Source organism: Homo sapiens, chromosome 15, assembly GCF_000001405.40.
Source record: "Homo sapiens chromosome 15, GRCh38.p14 Primary Assembly".
In the NCBI taxonomy this organism is placed as follows: Eukaryota; Metazoa; Chordata; class Mammalia; order Primates; family Hominidae; genus Homo; species Homo sapiens.
This window is the reverse complement of record NC_000015.10, coordinates 54,335,424-54,362,758: the sequence shown is the minus strand read 5'-3', so window position 1 is coordinate 54,362,758 and position 27,335 is coordinate 54,335,424. Positions and strand designations below refer to the sequence as shown.

The following is a 27,335-nucleotide window of genomic DNA, read 5'->3' as shown; positions in this document are numbered from 1 at the left end:
CATGCAGTAGATGAGTGATTTTCGATCATTAGAGTGTACCTGGAGGACTTGTTTAAATGCAGAATGTTGGACCCCATCCTCAAGAGTTTCTGATTCAGTAGCTCTTGAGTGGGTCCTAAGGATGTATATATCTGAAAGTGATGTTATGGTTCTATAACTCCGTTTTTGTGAACCCTGCAATGGAAAAAAACTGAGAAAAGTTATGTCAGCATGATGGTGGAATATAAGATTCCCTTGTATCACTACTCCCACAAAAATATAATTAGAAAGTATTCAAAGACAGGAACACCACCCTGAATTCAGGGGAGTAATGAAGAAATCTCTTGGGCCTACAGTATCGAGAGAAGGCATGACCAGTAGGAGAAATAGTCATTTTAGTCTGTGCTGCTCCCTCCTCCAAGCTGGCATAACACCATTTGCAAAGAATTTCCCTAGACCTGTGGGTTCTGAGGTGAGAGGAAGGAGTTGGAGGTGGATATTCAATCTCTCCACTGGTCTGATAATCTTCATGGGAAGCCAACTCCAGTTCCATCCCACTGGAAAGACTGGGAGTGCCAGGAAGGCTCAATCACCTGGGGTAAATTGGATAAAGAGTACGTCTTTTATCACAGTGAGTGGTACACAGATCTTGGCAGCTATTCTTCCCTCTAATCAGCATGGATGCCACAGTAAGGAGACTGGCTGGAGCCATAGAGCTACAGTAGGTACAATATGCAGGAAGGCCCAAATCCCTGGCCATATTTTTTTACAAACCCAGATGTTCATGTGAATCTTTCTTCTGTCCTAGAAATAACTAAAATGTTGGAATTAGGTTTTGGTGCCACTTAAGTCTTCATCAGACTAGAAAAAAATAGCAGGACAGCAATATAATTCTGGTATAGCATTTAAGTTCTTGTACTCTCTATAAGTCTTCCCCAGACTGGGAAATAATAGCAGAGCAGCAATTCAGTTCTGATGCAGCATTTCAGCTTCAACTCACAGAGTAAGTCTTACTCAAACCAGGAAAGAGAGGTAGGGTAGCAGTTTAGTTCCAGTGCAGTGTTTTAGTTCTAGTGCTCGCTGTAAGTCCTCCCCAGAATCGGAAGCAAAGGATTAACTTTTGGTACTAAGTAGTAAAGGTCTAATACCACCAAAGAATACTGCAAAAGTTGGGCAAGGTGATTCTCTTCTCAAATGTGAAGACATCAATGCAAGCATTGTTAAACTCAGGGAAATATGACATCACCAAAGGAAAACAACAAAGCTTCAGCAAGGGGCACAGATTGAGTATCTATGAAATGTCTGTCAGAAAATTCAGAATTATCTCCTTAAAGAAGTTCAGGGGAATCACAAGAAAATATAGATAGAAAACTGATGAAATTTGGAAAATAATCTAATAATAAAATGAGAAAATTGACAAAGAAATAGTATTTACACAAGTAAAAACACACCAAGTAAAAATCTTAAAATTGAAGAATACTGAATACAATGAATAGAGAATACAATAACTGACCTGAAAAACACATTAGAAAGCCTCAACAATAGACTTGATCAAAGAAGGGAAATAATTAACAAGCTTGAAGAGAGAATATACAAAATAGGAGATAAAAGAAAAAAGAATAGAAAAGAGTAAAGAAGTCCTATGAGAATTATGAGCCACCATCAAGTGAATTAAGTTTCACCAAATATTAATAAAAATTCCTAATGGAGATGAAGGGAAAAGACCCAGAAAGCATATTTAAGCAAATAATGGGTGAATATTTCCCAAATCTGGAGAAAGATGACAGCATTCAGGTACAAGAAACACAGAGATTGCCAACCAAATTTAAGCCAAAAATGAATTTCCCAAGGCAAATAATAATCACATTATCAACCAAAGTCAAATAAAGAATACTTAAAACAGCAACAGCAGAGAACTATATCACATTCAACACAGCCCCAATACACCTTTCAGAGAATTTCTCAGTGAGAGTGGAATACTGTATTCAAAGTGCTGATGGGAAAAATAAAAAACCCAAAAACCTGCCAACCAAGAATACTGTACTAAGAAAAGCTATCCAGGAAACATACAGGAGAGAGAACTTTCCCAGGCAAATAAAGGCTGAGTGTATTCCTTAACACTAGCCCTATCTTACAAGAAAAATGCTAAGGTGAGTTCTTTAATCTGAAAGTAGCTTTGCTTATATCAGATAAAACAGACTTTATGTCAAGCATGGTGAACAAAAGGCAATTATATAATGATAAAGGGGTCAATACAGCAAGCAGACACAAGAATTTTAAATCTATATGTACCCAATATCAGAGCACCTAAAAATATAAATACTATATTAATAGACTTAAAGGAATTGATGCAATAAAATAATAGTAGATTACTTCAGTACTCCATTTTCAGCAATGGACAGATTGTTCAGGCAGAAAATCAACAAAGAAATATCAAAGTTAAACTGCACTCAAGACTGAATAGATGTCACAGACATTTCCAGAAAATGTCATCCAACAGCTGCTGAATAAAATTTTTTCTCAACAGCACTTGAAACATTCTCCAGTACAAATCATATGTTAGGTCACAGAACAGGTCTTACTAAATTTTTAAAAATCAAAATAATATCAAGTATCATTTCTGATTACAATGGAAAAACCTAAAAATCAATAACAAAAGGAATATTGGAAACTGTACAAATTCATATACATTAAACAACATGCTCCTGAACAATAATGGGTCAATGAAGAAATTAGATAATTCATTGAGACAAGTGAAAACAGAAACACAGCATACCCAAACCTATGAGATACAGCACAAGCAGTTTTAAGAGGGAAGTTATAGCAATAAACACTTACATCAAGAAAGGTAGGTATACCTTAGGAAACTAGAAAAACAAAAACCAACTAAACTTAATATTGGTAGAAGAAAAGAAATAACAGAGAACAGAACAAAAATAAATAAAATAGAGATTTTAAAAATATGAAAAACAAAACCAAGACTTGGTTTTCAAAAAATAAACAACAATTATAAACCTTTAGTTAGTGTAAGTACAAAAGAGAGAAGACTCAAATAAGCATAATTAGAGATGATAAAAGGAGACATCATAACAGATGCCACAGAAATACAAATGATTCAATACAAATACAAAAGATAATATTGTGAACAATTATATGCCAACAAGTGGAAAAATCTATAAGAAATGTATAAATTCCTGAACACATACAGCCTACCAAGACTGAATCATGAAGAAATAGAGAACCTGAACAGACTAATAATAAGGAAGAAGACTGAGGCAATAATAGACTCTCCCATCAAAGAAGAGTCCAGGACCTGATGGCTTCACGGCTAATAAATATTTGCCAATAATATTGAATTATCAAATATTTAAGGAAGAACACATATTAACTTTTCTCAAATTCATCATAAAAAATTGAAGAGGTGGGAATACTTTCAACTCATTTTATAAAGTCAGCATTACAATGATATCAAAACCGGACAATGATACAACAAAAAAAGAAAACTATAGGACAATATCCCTGTTGAACATAGATGCAAAAACTCTCAACACTAGCAAAACAAATTAAACAACACATTAAAAAGATCTTTCATTATTACCAAATGGAATCATGCCAGGAATACAAGGAGGGTTCAACACATGCAAATCAATAAACGTAATACATCATACTAACAGAATCAAGGACAAAAAACAAAAAATCAAATATGAATATTTCAGTAGACACAGAAAAAAAATTCTATAAAATTTAGCATTTTTTCATGATAAAAAAATCTTCAACAAATTAGATATAAAAGTAATATACTTCAACACAATAAAGGCCATATATGACAAACCACAGCTAACATCATACTCAATTAGGAAAAGTTGGGAGCATTTGTCTCTAAGTTATGGAACAAAATAAGGATGTCCACTTTCACTGCTTTTATTCAACACAATACTGGAAGTCTTAGCTATAGGAATTGGGCAAGAGAAAGAGATAAAGGGCATCCAAATTGGATAGGAGAAAGTCAAATTATCCCTGTTTGAGGACAGCATGATTAAAAATACAGAAAATCCCAAAGACTCCACAAAAATAATATTGGAACCAGTAAATAAATGAATTTAGTAAAGCCGCAGCATACAAAATTAGCATATAAAAATTAGTTGCATTTCTACACACCAATTACAGACTATCTCAAATCAAGAATGTAATCCAATGTATAATAGTTATAAAATATAAAATAGTGATACATTTAAACATGGAGGTCAAAGATCTCTATACTGAAAACTATAAGATAACTGATGAAATCAATTGAAGAAGATGCAAATAATTGGAATGACATTTTGTGTCTTGTGTCCACTCATTGGAAGAATTAATATTAAATGTCTGTACTACCCAAAGGGAGCTAAAGATTAATGTTATCCCTATGAAAATACCAATGATGTTCTTCATAGGAATAGAAAAACCAATCCTAAAATTTGTATGGAACAACAAAAGACCCAAATATCCAAAGCAATTTTAATCAAAAAGAATGAAGCTGGAGGCATCATACTACCTGACCCCAAAACATACCACAAAGCTGTAGTGACCAAAACAGCATGGTAATGGCATAAAAACAGACACATTGGCCAAAGGTATAGAACAGAGAACCCAGAAAGAAATCCACACACTTACAGCCAACTCATTTTTGACGAAGTTGGAAAGAATATACACCGGGGAAAAGATAGTCCTTAATAAATGGTGCTAGGAAAGCTCGATTGCATACTGAGTAAATGCAGAAACTCCTAGATATTTTTTAAATAAAAAGAGTTAATAGATATCTTTGTGCACTATGATTAGTACAGGCAAGTCTCACTGGCTTTTGGGCTTTTGATAATAATAAAGATTAATGTATATACATACATACAAACACATATAAAATAATGGTTTACATAAATACACACACACATATATGTGTGTGTTTTTTCTCATATATATGTGAAAAATGTGTTTTGTAAGTCCTACTCCAAGAGCAAGGGAAATTTATATGGAAACCAAAGAACAGTTTACTGAAAGGTTGAAGGAATGTGTTTGTATTTTTCCCCTGGATTTCTCAGTAATTATCTCCCCAGATTACTTTCTCCTAAAACGTTTATACCTCCTAATATGTCTAATTTTATGCTAACTTTAGAGGCTTAAAGTTATTTTTTAATATACGCATATGCTGAAACCTCTTCAATTTCTGCTTTATCTTTTAAGAATATTTATCAGTGTACAAAAAGTATGTTTAAATGTATAATGCTAAAAATTTAAGAATTTCAAATAATATTAGAATAAAAAATTATTTTTTCCTAAAGCTGAGCTTAACAAATATTTTCAAATTTAATATTTCATGAAAACAATGTACAGAAAGTCCTGTTGGATAATGGAAGAAAATAAGAATATTTTAAAAATATTCCAGGTTGTTTTTTAGGATGGAGAGAATGCAAAGCAAAAACATTTGTTGATTTGATTCTGCTCTATACTTCATAATTATCTTTTATTTTGAAATTTATAATAAAACACTGCTTTAAGACAATGTTTTCATCACAATTTATATAAAAATAAATTCCAGGTGAGTCATACACATTTAACCTAAAAATACTCTAAAAATTCTAGACGGAAAGATCGGATGAGATTTTTAAAAATAATCTCAAAGTGGGGACTGTAGTTTACAACATAACATAAAACCTATAAGCTGTAAACTGATACAATTAACACTGTAAACTTCAAAAAAAACTAAAGAAATTTAAACAAAATCTAAAGAAATTATGTTTGAATCCTTTATCAAGACAAAGTGCAATTTCCTTAAAATAGAACAAGGTCCTATAGATCAGAATACATAAATCAATAAAAAATGAAGAAAACTTTGATTAAACATTGAAGTGCCTTTTTAATATACAAATATGTTTAAACTTATCAATATTTAGATAAATGTAAATTGAAATTCCTCAGCAATAATTTTTTATATCTATCAAATTTGTAAAAACTATTAAGACAATGACTACGGTCTGAATGTTGGGTATCCCACAAAAAATCATATGTTTTATTGCTAAAGTATTCCTAATACTCAATGTGATAGGATTAATAGTTGGGAATTTTTGGGGAATTATCAAATAATAAAACTCTGCTCTTATGAATGAGACCTGGGCCCTAATGAAAGAGGCTGAAAGCTGCTTTTGCCCCTTCCATTAGGTGAGGTTTCAGCAAGAAGTCACTACCTTGGAAGCAGAGAGCATATCCCACCAGACGCTATATCTATGGGCATCTTGATCTTGAACTTCCCAGCTTTGAGAACTGTGAGCGATAAATCTCTGTTGTTTATTAATTACCCAGTCTAAGGTATTTTTGTTATAGCAGCCCAGAAGGACTAAGACATCTTTGGTAGAACAGTATATGGACAAGGTATGGAAAAAAAAAACACTTTTAGAGATTGCCGGAGGGACTGAAAATTAATAAAACCCCTTTGGAGGTTAATTTGTTGGTATCTACTAAAATTCCCAATCTATATGACATTTGTTCCATCAATCAAATACACATTTTGAATTTTATTTGATACATACTTTTATGAGTTACAAAAAGATATATATCATGTCTTTCTAGCATCATTTGTGAAAACATAACCTTAGAAACAACTTGAATTTCCACCAATAGGGGCAGGCTAAATACATTGTGAAATGTCCATTCAGTGGAATACCACGCAGACATAAAAAATGAGAATATTTTAGTGCATTGGAGATGAAACCATTTCAAAGACATATTGTTAAATGAAGCACAGAGCAGTAGAGTATGTATAATATGCTACTATTTGTGTAAAAAAGGTGATTCATATATCTGTATGTGTACGTGTCTTCATATATACAAACATATCTATATATACATCTATGACACGTTCATATTTGGAAAGCATATATATACATAGGTATGAATGCAGTATCTCTGAAAGGATATGCAGAAAGGTGATAATATTGTTTATTTCCAGGAGGGGAGGCTGAGTACTTGGGGAAAGTATGAGAAGGATAATTTTTACTTTATACTTTAAAAAAAAATCTTTTAAATTATGTGCCTGAGAAATATATTAACAAAAAATTTAATAAATAAAACTGGAATTAAAAGCAAAGTGAGGGCTGGGTGCTGTGGCTCACACCTGTAATCCCAGCACTTTGGGAGGCCGAAGTGGGAGCATCACTTGAGGTCAGGAGCTCGAGACCAGCCTGGCCAACATGGTGAAACCCCGTCTCTACTAAAAATACAAAAAATTAGCCAGGTTTGGTGGTGCGTGCCTGTAGCCCCAGCTTCTAGAGAGGCTGAGGCAGGAGAATAGCTTGCACCCGGGAGGCAGAGGTTGCAGTGAGCCGAGATCGCGCCATGGCACTCCACCCTGGGTGATAAAGTGAGACTCTGTATCAAAAAAAAAGCAAAGTGAGATTAAAAATCAAGATTAATTCAGAGATAATGAAATGAAACATGACATGTGTAGACTGCATGATCATAGAAATAATTCTAATTCTTGCTTGTCTTTGATACTTGATAATTACATAAGTAAAGTTTTAAGTTTGTTTCTGCTGATCGTAACAAAATAACTGGAACTGGGAAATTTATAAAGAAAATACATTTATTTCTTATAATTGCAGAGGCTGAGAAGTCCAAGGTTGAGGGGCAACATCTGGTGAAGGCCTTCTTGGTGGGGACTCTCTGTAGAGTCTGGAGGGGGCACAGGGCATCACGTGGCAAGGAGGCTGAACATGATAGTTCAGGCCTTTCTTCCTGTTCCAATAAAGCCATCAACTCTACTCCTATGATCGCCCACTAACACAATAATTCATAAATGAAATAATTTATTCATGTGGGCAGAGCCCTTGTGGCCCAATCACCTCTTAAGGGCCTCATCTGTCAATACTGCCACATCGGGGATTATATCTCAACATGAATTTTAGAGGGGACAAACATTCAAACCATAGCAAGTAACTATTCCCATATTATTTAATTCCAAGTTACATTTTATGCAGAATTTGGGGGCACTGATCTTTAAGTTGTTTTCTTTGAGTAACAGTAAAGTTGAGATATTCCTTGAGTTGGAAGTACTACTTTGGTTTGTACAACCTTGTTCCTCTTACTATCACTGAAGGAAACCTATTCCAGAAGCTGTGTGGCCAAAAAGAAGAAAAGCACAATGAAGTACATTTCCAGTAATTTTTATAGGCTGTCAGTGCCAAGTTTAATTAGAGAGCACATTCCAATGCTTCCAAATACCTGGAAGATGCTTTGCAAGCAGATGGAGAGTGACAGTATATGCATTTCAGAGTAATCCTGGTAGGTCCAGCAAACTATGTATTTTGTGTGTTATAATCTCCTCCATTTTTATAAGGCTAACAGAATCAGTAGAAGCAGCACCGAATCAAAAACTGTTTGTGTTTCAGTGCATGGTGTTATAGCACAAACTCCTGTCTGGTCAGTGAATTTAGCACAAAAACAAGGCAAGTATTGATGGAATAAAGAAAAGGACCATCTCCTGAATACCTATGAGTAAGATGATTCACAAACATTCTTTCATTTAATCCTCACAGCAATTCTATGAGCAATTATTGTTATCCTTTTTTTTTTCTAAATGAAAACATTGAGGCTTAGAAGAACGAAGTAACTTGTCCAAGACTCAATAGCTTCCTAATTGATGGGAGCCTCTATTTGAATCCAGGTGGGTTTGATTTCAAAGCTGCATCTCTTCCTAAGACATCCACTCCTTGCCAAAACAAAACAAGGTTATTTGCTGACATGAAGCAGGCAGGACAACCAATTCTTCCCTAGGAATTGTAAGAGCTGTTTCCAGAATCAAAGCAAAAGGGTCTGCCTCCTTCATCCTGGCCTGGAGACAACTCTGTTTTTCAATTGGTTGGCGTCCTCCAAGTTTTTATGGGACTGTTTTGTGTGTGAAGCGGTGTAGCTAGAGTAAAAGCCAAGGACAGAACCCCAGGAGTTCTAACATTTACAGGCCTGGTAGAGGATGGCATTTGGCAAATAATTCAAAAGGGAGCAGTCAGTGAGGTCAGAGGAAAGCTGGTAAGAATAGCAATTAGACATTTAGAAAATAAAGTATTTTAGGAAGGATGGAGTGGCCAATAACAAATGTTTCTGATAGGTTAAGTAAATGAGGCCAGATGATTGACCATTGGTTTAGGCACAGTACAGATGAAAGAGCTAAGATAGTTTTAGCAGAAGCCCAACGAAAGTGATTCTACCGTACCTCTTCGCTGCGATGAAAAATACAACTGTCTATAGAATTCTAGGTACTACTACACTGGGATTTTAAATGAAAGTAAGATAATGTTTTGTTTTGTTTTATTGATTGATTGATTGATTGTGACATTTCCCTGGTCTTTGTAGGGACACATCTCCAGAATTACCACCTCCAGCAGAGTCTGTCTGGATGTATTTCTAACAGAAACCATATTATTTTAAATTCTACTCTTCCCTACATCCCAGATTAGGATGGGTTTTTCTTTTAATACTGCATTATATTTTCCCTGCCTGCCTGGCATCTGACACTATTTCAGTTATTGGTCTAATAATTTTTTTAATGTCTACCTCTCTGGCTAGAGTCCCATGAGGATACTGACTGTGTTTGTCTTGTTCACTGAAATTTCTCTTATTCTTAGTGTTTGGTACACAACAAGAAGTCAACAAATTTTATTTATTGTATATATGTGAATAAATGAATTACATTTAAATCCTTTTTCCTGTATGAGACAGAAAGCTCAAAACTAATCTTCCTGCATAATTTTGAATGCTTCCTCTTGGCCATTTTCACCATTGCCAAAGAAGAACGTCTCAAAGATAGAATTTTTCAATAGATAAAATTGTAAAAATCAATAAAACAGGATACATAAACTGCATTTTCAATAAGATATTTTAAGGAATGGTAACAAAATTGAACACCTCTATAGAGAGCCATATAGCATATTTAAGGAAAATAAAACGCATCATGGAAATAAAGAAAGGGACCAATTCATTTCCTGGTGAGATTCCATTATCCATTAACTTGTTCTGGAGAGAGCAAGGGGAAATTGGATTACTGGATTATTACAATCTAGTCTGTCTTTGCTAGCCATCTATCAGAGATTATATATAGACACCACTTATGAGTGATAGCAAAAATACATATATATTCTAGAATTTAGCATAATTAATTGCTGTATTTTTGTTTTATGCCTTCTGTTTGACACTGTTCTGACGAATCAGGAACTTTAGAAGAAACATGCTACAAAATATGAGACTTTTAATAAAAGAGACTATGTCTAATCAGCACATTAGATACCATTTCATTAATGCAACACCATTTTATTCACATGATTTTGTTGCTGGTGATGAATTAAACAATTATGACCAATAATATTCTTCAGAGAGGATAACCTGACTCACTCTCTCTCTCTCTATATATATATATACATTTATATAATTATATTTATATAAAATATATATTAATTATATAAATATAATTATATAAATGTATATATGTGTTATATATTTGTATAATCACAATATATAAACAAAATCAAAACTATGAGAATAACTACATCAGTATTTCCTGGAAGGCTGAAAATAGCAATTAAAAATGCATTAAACTTAACCATATAGAGAGAATTTTAGATGGATTAGAGTTCCTGACCTCTTGCTTTAAAATTTCATATTTAACTTTCACCCCAAGATTTCAATGAAATCACTGAGTAAATGATATTTTAACTTTAATTCTATCTCTGTATATTTCTCTCTTTTAATTACTTATGTTTCTACACTACTTTCTAATTCACTAGATGCTTCCCTAAGTGTAAACACCTCCTGATTTTAGAATCAGAGTTCTACTACCTCTGAAGTAGAGACAAAAGATATTGCATTATTTTAGAGATGAGAAAACAGTGGCTACTGAGTGATTTGTTAATTTGTTATAATTAGTTGAGTTGTAAAACTAAAATTAAAATTAAAATCTTATGGTTTTGATTCACATGTATTATAAATAAAAATGGCAACTATTATATCCACTATTTATGGAATGCCTAGTATATGTGAAGCGTTAGGTTGGATATAAAAAATGCATTGGTGAGCAAGAGAGATAAAATTCCTACACTGGAGGGTTTTATAATATACTCCACCATACTGCCTCCGTGTTGATCTTAATTGCTGTATTGTTTTACCAAGGATTCAGTAATACAAGTAACATCTACCATTTTCTTCTCTTTAAAAGGAATTATATAAAGAACTGTGTAACTTCTGGGAAGCTGGGGAAGAGGAGCGCAAGCCTTGGGAAATAATACAGACTATTAGGCAAAAACAGTTCTTAAACAGATTTTTTACATACTGTAGTTCTTTTCACAGTTTAATTTTCAGTGCAAGTTTTTCTCTAGATACTTACTAAAAAGAAAAACTAAAAAGTAAATAGAATATCAGAATCCATAGTGACAAAGTTCTATTTAATGGAATAGTTGCTTAATGTCACGTATCATTCTACTAACTTGTTAAAAAATACAGATTCCTGCGCACTTCACTGGATATCCTGTATTTTCTGAAGTAGCCAAGAACCCTTTAGCAGCAGGAAATTTGGGAAATACTAGAGTCAAACAATTGTAAAAAAAAATTATGTTTCCAATTTATTATGTTTACTGGACTTTTCAGGAGCTTGGAGTAATTTGACTTACTAAAATGTCCCATCCCAATCAACAACTATATTTTAAAACTAACAGATTCAAGACTCATCAATTTCCTGGGTAACTATTATACAAAGTCACAATGTGAAAAATAGAAAAATTTTAAGTGAAATAACTCAAACTATAGTCTTCAGTGAAATATTATATGTTCCAAACAACTTACTTGATAGTATTATAATATAAAGAAGCACATTGTAGATGAATTCATTTTTTCCTATCACCATTTGTGAAGGAAAACCATCTTTAAAGAATGAAAGTTTCTGAAGAAGGAACACATTAAAATAAAAATCACATGACACAATATTGATTATACCTCTTGACTCCACTACAGCAGTTTTATGGCTATAACACGACACAATTTCAGAGGTCGCCATTTCAATTTCGTGTATGGCCACGTGGGGCAGAAAGAGTCAACATTAAATCTGAGTTTTATACTTGTTAGATGCTAAATTCATATCAATTGAAAAGTTATACAAAGTTTAGGTAATTGACTCCAGAGATACCACAAATATAGCATATTTTACTGCAGACCTTTAGACTTACTCTTTTTTTCTTTGAGTTGGAGGAGAGGTTAGAACCTTGTTTAAGAATTTAGATCATGCAAGTTTCCTGTCTGCCTGCCGATTCATTCCATCCGTCATCCTTATCTTTCTATTTCTTTCTAATTACCATTCTACAATTTCATGTCCTTTTGACTTACATAAGACCACATACTGAGTTTGGTGTTTGCCTATTTTTTTCAGTCTTGTAAAATGTTTATTATTGTTTTGTGTATTTATCTAAATTTTAGAAAAATAGGCCAGGCGTGGGGTCTCACGCCTGTAATCCCAGCACTTTGGGAGGCCGAGGCAGGCGGATCACGAGGTCAGGAGATCAAGACCATCCTGGCTAACACGGTGAAACCCCGTCAGTACTAAAAATACAAAAATTAGCCGGGAGTGGTGTCGGGCGCCTGTAGTCCCAGTTACTTGGGAGGCTGAGACAGGAGACTGGCGTGAAGCCAGGAGGCGGAGCTTGCAGTGAGCCCAGTTCGTGCCACTGCACTCACTCCAGCCTGGGCGACACAGTGAGACTCCGTCTCAAAAAAAAAAAAGGAAAATATTATTGTGCTAATATACAACATTATGTTTCTTCCCTTGTTTTCCACTTATCACTGTTTTTACTTTTTATCCATGTTACTATGTAGACATCTAACCCATTTTCCTAAGTGCCCCACAATATTCCATGATATGTACCCACTACATTTTATGGATCTATTTTTCTGTGAAAGATACCTGGGTTGCCTCCATCTCCTCAGTCTCACAAACAATGCTATATTGAATATCCTAGTAAACATGCCCTTGGTGAACTTTGTGAAAATATGTACCCAGAGTTAGATTACTGGCTCCCGGCTTACTTGCCAACTGAAAGTGCATGAAGGTTCCAATGTCCCATATCACCATTAAATTTATAATTGATCTTTTTTTGGTATTGTTGAACCATTTTTGCATTCATGAGATGAAATTACTTGACCAAGTCATGTTCTTTAATATTTAATATTTTACTTAGACTTTTCTCATCAATGTTTATTAACAACGTGAGGTTATAATTTTTTTCATGTATTGTCATAATTCAGTTTTAGAATCAAAATTTCACTAGTTTTACTAATACAACATACTATGTATGTTATTGATATTTTCAGAATTTATTATGGTTTCATTTTTTACTTTATTTACCTTGTTATGAAAATTAAAGCATATAGTGATAGAAGCATAACTGGCTAGTCATTTTTCAGGCTCTGAATTTTCATATATTTTTCTTCTTTAAAATACATAAGACATGGCAATATACTACTCATTTTGAACAATTTCTTGTTACAAGTAAAATTTTATATACTAGTCATGAAGCTGGCATTTAAAAAGAAATTTTCTTTTCATAACATTTATTCTATACATTTTATATAATATCAAATGATATTTTATATATTTATAAAATATAAATATTTTATAAATTATAATTTGATATATTTGTATATATCAAATTATAAACATATTAACTCTAAGTTATGCTTATATTTACTCAGATTTAGAACTAAGACAAGGAGCACATAAGGTGGTAAAAAACACCTATCTTTCAGAATAAACATCATTCCCTAACTAATGCCAATGATTACATAAGAAAGTACATTGCTGGAAAAATATCTAAGAAAAGTCAGGGACATATTATAGCCAGTTTTGTAATGATTACTATTTAAATCATGTTTCAAATTAAGAGTTACAGAATTGGATATTTTTCTACATGTACATTTCAGGGCACATTTTAACTTTTCTTTCATTGCTGAATTATTTAGAAATTGGCTAGAGCAAAACCAAAAGAAAGGGAAAAAGACAAATTGCTAAATCAACTTTTTGGGTTAAAATAACTGAGAAAGATACATCCACAAAACAAGCATGGACGTTCTGAAATTTTCCACATTTAAATTCAGGTAAGTTGCCCCTTTAGACTATTCTACGGTGATATTTTCTCTCTCAAAGAATTTTCAGAGGATAACGTGGCCAAAATTGTGGTATACATATCACATTCCGTCTAATACAAAGAGATGTTTTTTGATAGAATTTTCATTTAGTAAGCATTAATTGATCTCTGCACAGTGTTATATGCTACAAATTCAATATTAAGATAAATAGAGTTTCTGTTTTCACTAAACTCAATGTTACCATGGGTATCAGACAAAAGGTATTTTAATGCATGTGAAAAGTAAAGGGTGCTTCTGTCCACATGGTACAAGATGGCTCAAAATCAGGTCCACATTCTGTCTAGCGGAAGGGAAAAAGTAGAGGAAAGGAGGATATTCCCTTCTCCTTTAAGAGACCATACCGAATTTTTTACACACCTACTACAAAGATATTCATTGCAGCCTTATCTGTAATTGTGAAAAATCGGAATTGATGTGTAAATTGCTGTACATGCTGTAGGCAGTTGTAAAAATCAACAAACTGTACATACATGAATCAGCATAGATAGCTCTCAAAAATTAATATTGAGCTTTAAAAATTATAGAAGAATCATTACATTTAGACAATCTGGTTCTAGAATTAGTATATACAACAATAATACTGTATTACCTATTTCTAAAATGTATTATATCACAGGTTGATAGAGATAAAGACTGTATCACAAATAATAGATATATGTAATAAATGTACACAAAGATGAAACTATGTTCATCAAAGCTAATAAGAAATTCATAACAGAGATTTCCTTTGAGATAAGAAGTGAGAGAATTTGACTTGGGAGGGAAACAAAGAGACTAAGCATATATGTGCATGTGTGTGTGTATGTATCCAAAAGTCAATAAAGAGAGAAATATGTTTCTACTGATTTTACATACAACTCCCACTTGTAGGTAGCACATTTTCCTCTGCATTCATCTATCTGTATCACTCATGCTGCCTTATAGCAAAACACAGTCATTTGGAGAAATGATTTTCAAAAGAAATCATCACATGAATGTCAAGAACTTTCGTTTGTTCCTGTTTTTAGTTACAAACCTTCTAATCAGATTCAAAATAAGATTTTAAAAAGTCCCTAAGTGTGCTTCAGAACTAAAAGTGTACATGTGTTTTAGTTAAGGCATATCTTAATACAATTTTCTTAGGTAGTCATTCAATAAACAACTTAAAATTTACCAAAATATATAAATTTAAAATAGCAGAATCTTAGGCAGAAAGGTTTTATTGGTTTTTGACATCTTCTTGTGGATGATCTCTGTGTAAACAAGTTTTGATCTCAGGGTAGGTGTGGAGGGAGACTGTAAAATCAGTTAATAAAGGTTTTCATTGTTCAACAGAAAAGTTCTTTCGCTGAGTGGTTTCCACGGAACTGAGTTAATGCTGACATTAGCTCAGCATAATTCTTTTAAAACACATTTAAAAAGAAAGTCTTATCTATCCTCCTCATTCCACAATTAGGGGGTCTCTTTATGTAGATTTTATTAAAATGGATGTGTTCATGCTAGCAATAATCACTATTAATATTATCCAGCTAATTCATCCTGCTCTTGTTCCAGGTTCCTAAAATAACCTTCGGATTACAGGTTTTATTTTCACATAGATGTTCACCTGGGAGAGTATAAACTAAAACACTTTCAATCTGTTTGAAATTTTATTTTTTATTTTAAAGAAACTATCGTTTGTTCTCTGATATGTCCTAAGAGCCTACACCAGTGCCTGGCATATAATAGGGCTGATTAGGTATCTGCTGGATAGATATCTATCCAGTTTATAGATTGATCTTTTGTGTACCTCTCTGTGAGTCCAGTGACCTCTGTCTACACTGACACATTGGAGTTCCTAAGCTAAACTGAAGTGCAGATGCGGAGCCTGGCAATTCAGCCAAGGAAAATACCACCTACCGAGTGCAGAGCCAGCCTCCGGAGACCACACTTCTATCTTGTTCTAACTGCAGCTGTCTCTACTTTTCTATCAAATCGATTTTCCTTTCTTATTCTAAGCATTTTATTTTTATATGGTTCTTCAAAATCCCTCTGGAGGGAGAAAGTATGATTCCACATTTAAATAATCAGACTGTACTGTGTCTAATAGTGCTGGAATTCTTAATTTCTTGTTTCAGGCAAGGCATCATATTATCTGGAGAAGATTCAAAGAAAACAGAAGTAGCATGAATATGATGAAGAAACCAGACATGAAGAGGCTAAATAGCTTAACAAAGTCCACAATGCTGAAAAGTAGAGCTGTAATTTGAACTCAGGGGTTTTAATATCAGAGATTATGTTCCTTACCATAGGTTTTAATGTAGAGTCACTGAAGGATACTACAAATAAGTAACTAAGGCACTGCCTTTTTCTTTAAATGTTATTTTTATTAGATAATTACTTCGTTTATCAACCCTACTCAGAGTCAGGTATACCACCAGGCACTGGGAATACAAAGATGAAACTCACGGTTTAGCCGGGAAGACAGGTCTAACTGATATCACATGATGCACCTGATAAATTCACCGTGATAAGTGCAGTGGTGGTGACATGTCAGGGTATTATGAGAATAGAGAACCGAAACACCAAATCCAGCTAGAAGAGGTATAAAGGCTTTCTGAAGAAAAAGTTAGCTGAGCTGCGGTTAGCTGTTTGGAGGGAAGTTTGGAGAAGGGATGCCCGCTCCAGGCAGGTAAATATAAGGCAGGCAAAGTCACCATGGAGTTTAATGTACTGAATCATGGAATGCAATGTGGAGATGATGTTGAAGTCAGGAGTGATAATCAAGGCTTAGACCTTAGAGGCACTGTGGATAATGGGAGAGTCTGGACTTCATCCTCTGAGTAAATGGGGAGCTGGTCCAGAGTTATAAATAGGATAGTCACGTAAACATGGATATATTTTAAATATATAGTGGGGTGGCAGGTTGGAAAAGTAACTGAAGTTCTATTAGTCAAAATAAGCCAGATTGTGCTATGGTAACAAATAAATATCCAAATATCCGTGAGTTAATGCAATAAAAGGTTATTTCTTAAACACCCAAAGTCCGAGGCTGACTAGGCAGCCCTTCACCACCTGGTAGCTATGCCATCTGCAATATGTATCCTTCCAGGTTATTGCACTGCAGGTGACAAGATGTTTTTATGGGTTGGGACTAGAAGTGGCCTTCATTTACTTTTCCCATATCTCTTCATCTGGGATCCTGCCACATGACCCAGAGTAAGTGCAAGAGGCTTTAGGCAAGCACTGAGAGTCTACCACAGAATAGGGCACTTCATTCAATCTTGTTTATAATAGGTGAAATATACCTATAATTTCTTACTGTATTACTGGAGAAAAATCAGTTTATTTATGTATTCAGTTCATTAAACAAATGCTTTTGTGAACACCTACTCGGCACTGTCCTAAGTTCTGTCTCTGTCATAAAAAGCAGGGGTAAAGCATTGCTCACATTACTTCCCTGCACATCAACTCTTCATTGGCTCTCCAGTCACATGGTGACATGTGCAAGGGGACAGCATTAGAGTAAGAGGGGTGAGAAGCGTAACATAGGCCAGATCATGTGGAGTTTTGTAGGACTTTGAATTTAACTTAAATGAAGGGCCTTAAAACATTCTATGCAGAAGAGTGATATAATCTGACTTCCTTTTTTAAAAAATAATTCTGGCTGCTCTGTTGAGAACAGACATAAGATGATGGGGTAGACACATTGAGCTCTCTTAGGAAGTTATGTAGTAATCCAAGTGAACAATGATTATGGTTTTGAGCCAGGGTAGAAGCATGGATCTGGTGAAAAGTGGTCTGATTCTGGATATATTTTGAAATGAAGGTATTTAATTTTGAACTAAATAATTAGAATTTGAAGACAGGTGAGACGTATGCTATAAGACAAAAAGGTCTTAACTTGAGCTCTTAGGAGCATGGAGTTGCAGCCAACTGAGGGGAGATAAGCCTTAATCATATGAAGTATTCCTAGATGGCTTCAAAAGGGCTCGAGAGAGCATTAACCCCCTAAATAATTCAGCTCCAATGGATGCTTCCTTTAGAATTTCAAATAATAACAATGTTGATGAAAAAGTATTTTTCCAAGATTTAAAGCTTAGCCCCAAGCATTCCCTACATTGACAAAATTTCGCATAAAATCTAAGATCTATCTACCTAAAAATAAAACCAGTAAGAAAATTATATAATTATCTTTTCTGAAAGCCAAGTCATAAAATATTAAGCTATATTAGATTATTTTGATGTGACATAATTCATTTACTTTTTGTTAGGGGCACGTTTGCTTTATGGGAACTACCTACGAAGCTCTCTTACAGAAATAAACTGTTCGTTTATCATTGTTGTTGTTATTATTTATGTATTAGAAAGACATCAAGTAAGGTATGCCACTTCACTTTGGCAGCTTAATTAATCCACTGAGTATTAATTAGTAGATGAGGAAATGATAAAGATTCTCTCTTTGACCAAACTTTGATCAAACTCTTCTGAGCTCTCTTTTTAACCAGGCCCCAACTTTCGAACTTCCATGTTAGTTTCTGCATTGTCCAATTTAGCAAGAATCTTCTCAGTTTAGCCAGAATTTTTCATTTTTGATATATGATCACACTTTGGTATCTGATCAGGTTTCCTTCCTCTACAATGCTTCTGGTGATATTTGATCACCCTGGTCTGCCTTCAGCAAGAATCCCATCAGATCTGTTAGCCAGGACCCCCCCTTACCCCAAATGTTAACTCTTAGTAATTTCTATCCAGTAAGCCCCTCCCCTTAACTCAGCTCCTTGGCTATAAATTCCCACTTTTCCTTGTGGTATTCATAGTTGAGCCCAATTTCTCTTTTCTACTATAAAATCCTATTGGGGTAGCCTTCCTGTGTAACTATTGTAATAGTACTCTTTGAATAGTCTGCCTTACCATTCTTTAATGGGTGTAATGAATAATTTTTTCTTTGACAAAGATCATATTTGAGCTGGATTTTGATGAAAGCAGGGAAGGAGGGAGAATTTCTTCAGGCATATAGAACAGGATGCATAAATGCAAGGATGTGAAAAAGGATGGCTGATTCATGGAAATTATAAAATTTAGGGCTCATGAGAGCAGAGCAGTTTGGTTCAGGAGTGTGAGGAGTAGGAAACTGAACCTGGTAAAGTCTGGTAAGATTGATTATAAAGTTATGCATGGGGCCAGGCGCGGTGGCTCACGCCTGTAATCGCAGCACTTTGGGAGGCTGAGGCAGGTGGATCCCCTGAGGTCAGGAGTTCGAGCCCAGCCTGGCTAACGTGGTGAAACCCTGTCTCTACTAAAAATACAAAATAAGCCAGGCGTGGTGGTGGGCCTCTGTAATCCCAGCTACTCAGGAGGCTGAGGCAGGAGAATCACTTGAACCCAAGAGGCGGAGTTTGCAGTGAGCCGAGATTGCGCCACTGCGCTCCAGTCTGGGTGACAGAGCAAAACTCTGTCAAAAAAAAAAAAAAAGTTATGCATGGGTAATTACATGGTACAATAAAAAGTTTCAATCTTAGCCTTTAGGTAAAATAAAGATAATGATGTTGAAAAATGTAAAAGAATTGAAAGAGCCCTATGGGAGGAAGATGGAAAGTAGAGATTAGACAAAGAAAAGTCATTAGAAAACTACTCATGGGAAAGTACAAGTGAGCACCAATTTAGCTCCTAGAAATCCTGGAGGACCAAGTTTTAAAACTAAGCATATCTAACAGAGTTGATAAGCTAAAGTTATGAACAAGTATGTGGTTATATATTGTTTTGCTTATGCAATGCCAAACTCAGCTTAATTTGTTTTCTTATAAAGCAAAACAAAAAAAACAAAAACAAAAACAAAAAACAGTGACCCCAGAAATATACTATATGAAACCTAGCTAAAAATCCAGTTTGGAAGAGTCTTACTTGCCTTCATCTAACATTGCTTTCTAGAATTTGCCTCTCCCAAGTAAACAGAATGTTTCATGGATAATTACACAATTTTTAATATCTAGTGGACCAAGTGCACTCTTCCTGAAAGGACAGGTGATAGACACATTTTTTTTTTTTAAATAGAGATAGGGTCTTGCTGTGTCACCAAGGCTGGAATGCAGTGGAGCAATCATAGATCACTCTAACTTCCAATTCCTGGACTCACTCTAACCACCTTAACCTCCTAAGTAGGTGTGACTATAGACACATACCACCATACACAGCTAATTAAAAAAAAAATTGTAGAGATAGGGTCTTGCTATGTTGCCCAGGTTGCCCAAGCTAGACTACATTTGTAAAATCCAATTTTATAGAAGTAATAGCTATATATGTCATAGTATGCATTAGAAAACTTCAATATAACAAAAAGATGTGTCATCAAGAGGGAAATAATCTATGAAATCCATATAACCAAAAAAGGATTAGTATCCACAATATTTTTAGATTTTTCTATAAATTAATAAGTAACAGACAAGAAAACCAAGAGAAACACACACAAAAGATTGACAGGCAATTCACAGAACATAAAACTCAAGCGTTCATTGATCATATGTGAAAATACGTTCAAACACACCAATATTAGAATAGTGTCCATCTCCAATGGACAAAAAAGGAGTAGGATGGGATTGGGAAATACAAAGCGAAATACTACTTTTTTTTTTTTTTTTGAGACAGAGTCTCGCTCTGTCGCCCAGGCTGGAGTGCAGTGGTGCAACCTCGGCTCACTGCAAGCTCCGCCTCCCGGGTTCACACCATTCTCCTGCCTCAGCCTCCTGAGTAGTTGGGACTACAGGTGCCCACCACCACTCCTGGTTAATTTTTTGTATTTTTAGCAGAGACGGGGTTTCATTGTGTTAGCCAGGATGGTCTCGATCTCCTGACCTCGTGATCTACCTGCCTCGGCCTCCCAAGCAAAATACTATTTTATGTGTAACATTTAATGTCTTTAAACAAGAGCAGAGAAATATTGGAAAATGTTAACATGGTTATAGGTAGTAAGCATATACATGTTTGATTTGGTTTCTATATTTTTTTGTATTCCTGAAATTTTTAAAAATAATTTCAACATTTATTTTAGATTCATGAGGTATATATGTAGGTTTGTTACCTGAACAGACTGTGTGATGCTGAGGTTTGCGTACGACTGATCCCCTTACCCAGGTACTGAACATAGGACCCAATAGTGAGTTTTTAAGCCCTCTCCCATTGCCAGTAGGCCTAGTTTCTATTGTTCCCATCTTTATAAGCTCTCACTTATAAGTGAGAATATGCAGTATTTAGTTTTCCTTTCCTGCGTTATTTTGTTTAGGATAATGACCTCCGGACACATCCATGTTGCTGCAAAGGACATTATTTCATTCTTTTTGATGGCTACATAGTATACCATGGTGTGCATATACCACATTTTCTTTATCCAGTCCACCATGGATGGGCACCTAGGTTGATTCCATGTCTTTGCTTTTGTGAATAGTGCTGTGATGAATATATGAGTGCATTTATCTTTTTAGTAGAAAAACTGATTTTCTTTTGTATAGATTCTCAGTAATGGGATTGCTAGGTCAAATGGTAGTTCTGTTTTAAGTTTTTTGAGAAACCTCCATACTGCCTTCCACAGTGACTGAACACATTTATATTCCCACCAACAGTGTATAAGCATTCCCTTTTTTCTGCAGCCTTACCAGCATGTATTGTTTTTTGATGTTTTAATAATAGCCATTCTGAATGTTTATGGATGTGTAGAATCAATATTGTGAAAATGACCATACTGCCAAAAGCAATCTGCAAATTTGATGCAATTCCCATCAAAATACCATGATAATTCTTCACAGAACTAGAAAAAACAGTCCTAAAATTCATATGGAACCAAAACAGAGCCCACACAGCCAAAGCAAGACTAAGCAAAAGGAACACATCTGGAGACCTCACATTACCTAACTTCAAATTATACTGTAAGGCCATAGTCACCAAAACAGCATGGTACTGGTATAAAAATAGGCATATAGACCCATGGAAGAGAATAGAGAACACATAAATAAACCCGCATACTTACAGCCAACTGATCTTTAACAAAGCAAACAAAAATATAAAGTAGGGAAAGAATACCCTATTCAACAAATGGTGCTGGGATAATTGGCAAGCCACATGTAGGAAAATGAAACTGGATCTTCATCTCTCATCTTATACAAAAATCTACTCATGATAGGTCAAGGAACTTAAATCTAAGACCTCGAACTATAAAAATTCTAGCAGATAACATCAGAAAAACCCTTCTAGACATTGGCTTAGCCAAAGTCTTCATGACCAAGAACCTAAAAGCAAATGCAACAAAAACAAAGATAAATAGGTGGGATTTAATTAAACTAAAGAGCTTCTGCACAGCAAAAGGAACAGTCAGTAGAGTAAATAGACAACCCACAGAGTGGGAGAAAATCTTCACAATCTATACATCTGTCAGAGGACTAATATCCAGAATCTACAAGAAACTCAAACAAATTAGTAAGAAAAAAAATCTTATCAGAAAGTGGGATAAGGACATGAATAGACAGTTCTCAAAAGAAGATATACAAATGGCCAACAAATACATGAAAAAATGCTCAACCTAACTAATGATCAGGGAAATACAAATCCAAACCACAATGCAATACCACATTACTACTGGAAGAATGGCCATAGTAAAAACATAAAAAATAATAGACGTTGTCATGGATGCAGTGAAAAGAGAACACTTCTACACTGCTAATGGGAATGTAAACTAGCACAACCACTTTGGAAAACAGTGTGGAGATCTCTTAGAGAACTAAGAGTAGAACTACCATTTAAACCAGAAATCTCACTACTGGGTATCTACCCAGAGGAAAAGAAGTCCATGCACAAAAAAGATACTTGCACATGCAGGTTTATAGCAGCACAATTTACAATTCTAAAAATATGGAACCAGCCTAAATGCCCATCAATCAACGAGTGAATAAACAAACTGTGATATATATATATATATATATATATCTCCACATAATGGAATACTACTATTCAGCCATAAAAAGGAATGAATTAATGGCATTCACAGCAACCTAGATAGAACTGAAGACTATTATTCTAAGTGAAGTAATTCAGGAATAGAAAGCTAAACATTGTATGTTTTCACTCATAAGTGGGAGCTAAGCTATGAGGGTGCAAAGGCGTAAGAATGATACAATGGACTTTGAGGACTCTGGGGAAAGGCTCGGAGGGGTGTGAGGGAAAAAAGACTACAAATTGGGTTCAGTGTACACTGCTTGGGTGATGGGTGCACCGAAATCTCAGAAATCACTACTAAAGAACTTACTCATGTAACCAAATGCCACTTGTTCCCCAAAAACCTATGGAAATAAAAATTTAAAATAATAATAATAGCCATTACTACTGCTGTGAGATTGTATCTCATTGTGGTTTTGATTTAAATTGTATTTTTGAAATATTTCTTAATAAATTAACATATAGGCCAGGCGTGGTGGCTCATGCCTATAATCCCAGCACTTTGGGAGGCCGAGGCGGGCGGATCACCTGAGGTCAGGAGTTCAAGACCAGCCTGGCCAACATGGAGAAACCCCGTCTCTATTAAATATAAAAAAAATTAGCTGGGAATGCTGGCTCATGCCTGTAATCCCAGCTACTGGGGAGCCTGAGGCAGGAGAATCGCTTGAACCCCGGAGGCAGAGGTTGCAGTGAGCCGAGATTGCGCCACTGCACTCCAGCCTGGGCAACAGAGTGAGACTCCATCTCAAAAAACAAATAAATAAAATAAAATGATATGGGAGGCAGTATGAGTTAGGGGAAGGACATAGAAACAGGAGTTGGAATCCTAATGTCTAGTCCCAAATCTGCCAATTACCTACCTTGTGACCTTGAGAAAATGTCTTCATTTTTCTGAAACTGATTCTCCAGCTAAAACCTTAAATAATATGTGCCTTTACTAGATAAAGTTATTTTAAGGAGCGAATTAGTTCATGTATGTGAAAGTGATATTCAAATATGAAGAAAAGGTATGGAAATTCTCAAATTTGCAGTTAATGTGAAATTAAATGAACATACTTTTCTATTTACTATTATGCTAAACTTATGGAAACAGATACTAGAAACAAAAGTGGCGATTATAAAAGACATACATATTTTCTTACCGGGTCTGTTAGCTGGGAGTAGAGTTCATGGCAGTTGTCAAAAATATACTTGTATGTAGAATCCAGGCAAGCCCTTACACAGTCCTTCACCACCATGCTCGCTTTTGGGGGGCTTTGCAGCTCCAGAACCTGACAAAGACAGACATTTATTTTCTCAAATGCAACAGTGACACATTGTAATCTAGTATAAACTACTCAAATATATATTCAATAAATACTTTCAGTCGATTTTTCTATGTTCAGTAAGTGTCATCTTACCATGTGGTTTTAAATGTGTAAACATTTTAACTTTCTGATATAAAAACTTATTGAAAATGATAATGGCTGTAAACACTCAAATAAAAACACTTAACGTGACCAGTTAGTACTTCATGCATTGATTTCATTCCATTCCATCATTCAACAAATATTCATCACTTCCTATATGCCAGATAATGGTGATACAGCAATGAATGATAGAAACAAAAATCCCTTTCCTCATGGGCTTAAGTTCAAGTAGATAATAAAATAAATACGTAAAATATATTACATGATGATGCATGTTGAAAAGTAAAACAGAGGAAGGATGGGAAGCGTTTCAATGGAATAGAATTAATACAATAAACGGCAAGAGTAAATGAAGCTGTAGGGTGAGAACAAGGGGAAACTACATATAGACCACTATAAAAATCTTAGCTTTTAGCGAGGTGGGAAGGAACTGGATAGTTTAAGCATAAGAGCAAAATGGCCTAATTTTAGCAAAACAACTAACTTTTATAAGGCTCCCTTACGCTGCCTTAAAGTGGGCTATGAAAAAAATAGAAAGACCAATTATGAGAACAGCGTTACAATTTAGTCTAGAGAAGATGATGCTTGATCAAGGTGGTAGAATTAGAAATTATTAGAAGAAATCATATTCTGGTAAAATTTAGAAAAAAAGAGCTAACAGGATTTTCTGACAGACTGGATGACTGGTGTGAGAGCTGACTCCAGTTGACCCCAATATTTTAGCCTGAGCAACTGCCATAAGGGAGGTGACTTCAATTTAAATGGGAAAAACTGTGGATGGGAGCTCAGGAGTCAATTCTGAACAGTTTAAGAAGCCTATTAGGCATATATATGAATTTCAAGAAGATATTTGGATAAATGAATCTACAGTTGTGGAAAAGTTCTGGTTAGAGATATAAATTTGGAAATTATTAGCTTACAGAAGAATATAAAGAAACAACGCTGGTTGAGTATGGATAGTGAAGAGAAGAGGTCCAAGAAATAAATCCGGTTAAATCTTACATAATTCTAAATCTGTGACAACAGACAAATGAGAAGGAATAAAGCAGTAGAGAGTACCCCCCACCCTGCTCCCAAAAGAGCCAATGGTATAGGAGAGAAATAAAACATGAGATGTTGACAAATTATTTTTGGTGAAGTGAGAGAGTAAAAGTCTGATTACAGTGTGGTCAAAAACTAAGGACAGAGTTGAAGTTTTAATATTGTTAAAATGTCAGTTCTCTCCGGATTTATCTATAGATGAAAGGCAATCTCAATTAAAATCCCAGAAGGAATGAAAATCACCTATACAATTGTGAAAAATGAAGAAACGAGGTGGGATGCACATTATCTTTTTTAATGATTTGCTATAAGGTCACAGTAATCAAGACAGGATGGTAGTGGTGGATGTACAAACAATTGAACAGTATAGAGAGTTCAGAAATAGACCCATACATATATGGTCAATTTAATTTTTTACAATAATATGAAAGCAATTCAATGGAGAAAGGAAAATCTTTCTAATAAATGCTGCTGGAACTATTAAACATAAATATGTAAAATGTTATCCTTGATTCACACTTTACACCTTATATCAAACAAAAACAACCAGCAAAACAATCCCCAAAATTCTAAATAAAAAATATGCCCAAATATAAAAGGTAAAACCAATCTTTTAGAAGAAACACACCAAAAAAACCTCTTTGTGATGTTGGTTTAACCAAGAGCATTATCCATAATTAGAAAAAAAAAATGATAAAGTAGACCAAAATTAAAAACTTGCTATATGAGATATTTTAAGATTAATTAAAAGACAAGGCACAAACAAGGCAAAAATAATAGCAAATCACATATCTGACAAAAAATTGTATTCAAAACATATAAAAACTCTCAAAACTCGAGACTACTGTATTCTTGAAGAATGCAAGAAAGTAGATTTTAGATATTCTCCTCACAAATATGATAACTTTGTGAGGTAATGCATACGTTAATTAGCTAGATTTAGCCATTCTGCAATGTATACACATTTTAAAGCATCATGTTGTACACAATAAATACATACAATTTTATCTATCAATTTAAAATAATTAAAATTAAAATGCCCTTAACAGTAAGAAAACCAGCTAATAAATATGGGTAAAAATTTCAACATTCTTCACAAAAAAAGATATTCAGATAGAAAATCAACCCCTCCAAAATTCTCAATATTATTAATTTTTAGACAAATAAAATTAATACATTAAGATAATGCAACGTCACTTCTACTAGAATAAGAAATATATACATACATACATACATAACATGGAAAATCCCAAGAGTTTTGCTAGAGGATGCAGAACAATTGGGACTCTCACACACTGCTGCTGAGGATTTAACCCAAGGAACATAAAAACATATGTTTACAACTATAATCCCATGCTTATTTAAAACAGTTTTATTTGTAAGAAACCAAAATTGTAAATAACTCAAACATCTCTCAATGAGGGAATGGATAAATCGATAGCACATACATAACAAAGAATTACTCCTTAGCAATTAACAGAAGTGAATTGTTGATACATTCAACACCAATGATTCTCTATTGTGTTATGCTACATCGTGTATGATTTCATTTACATGATGTTCTAGGAAAGGCAAACCTACAGGCAAAGAACAAATCGGTGGTTACCAGCATGTGGGAGAAGGGTTGACAACAATGGTATAGCACAAGGGAATTTTGTAGGCTCATGGAACTGTTCTGTATCTTATTGCTCTGGTGGTTATATGACTACACATTTGTCAAAACTAATAGGACTGTACAACAAAAGAGTGATTTTTACT

The 27,335-nt window shown here is 34.5% G+C and overlaps 1 protein-coding gene across 7 annotated transcripts in view; it reads right to left on the bottom strand.

Annotated features, from left to right (window-relative positions):
- Positions 1-27,335, bottom strand: part of UNC13C (unc-13 homolog C) — a 795,839-nt gene that overhangs the window by 270,682 nt on the left and 497,822 nt on the right. For all 7 annotated transcript variants that reach the window (XM_047432538.1, XM_017022220.2, XM_017022221.2 and 4 more), the window contains one exon: positions 24,270-24,398. In XM_047432538.1, the coding sequence (XP_047288494.1) occupies positions 24,270-24,398 (129 nt within the window). The remainder of the gene's footprint in view (positions 1-24,269; positions 24,399-27,335) is intronic.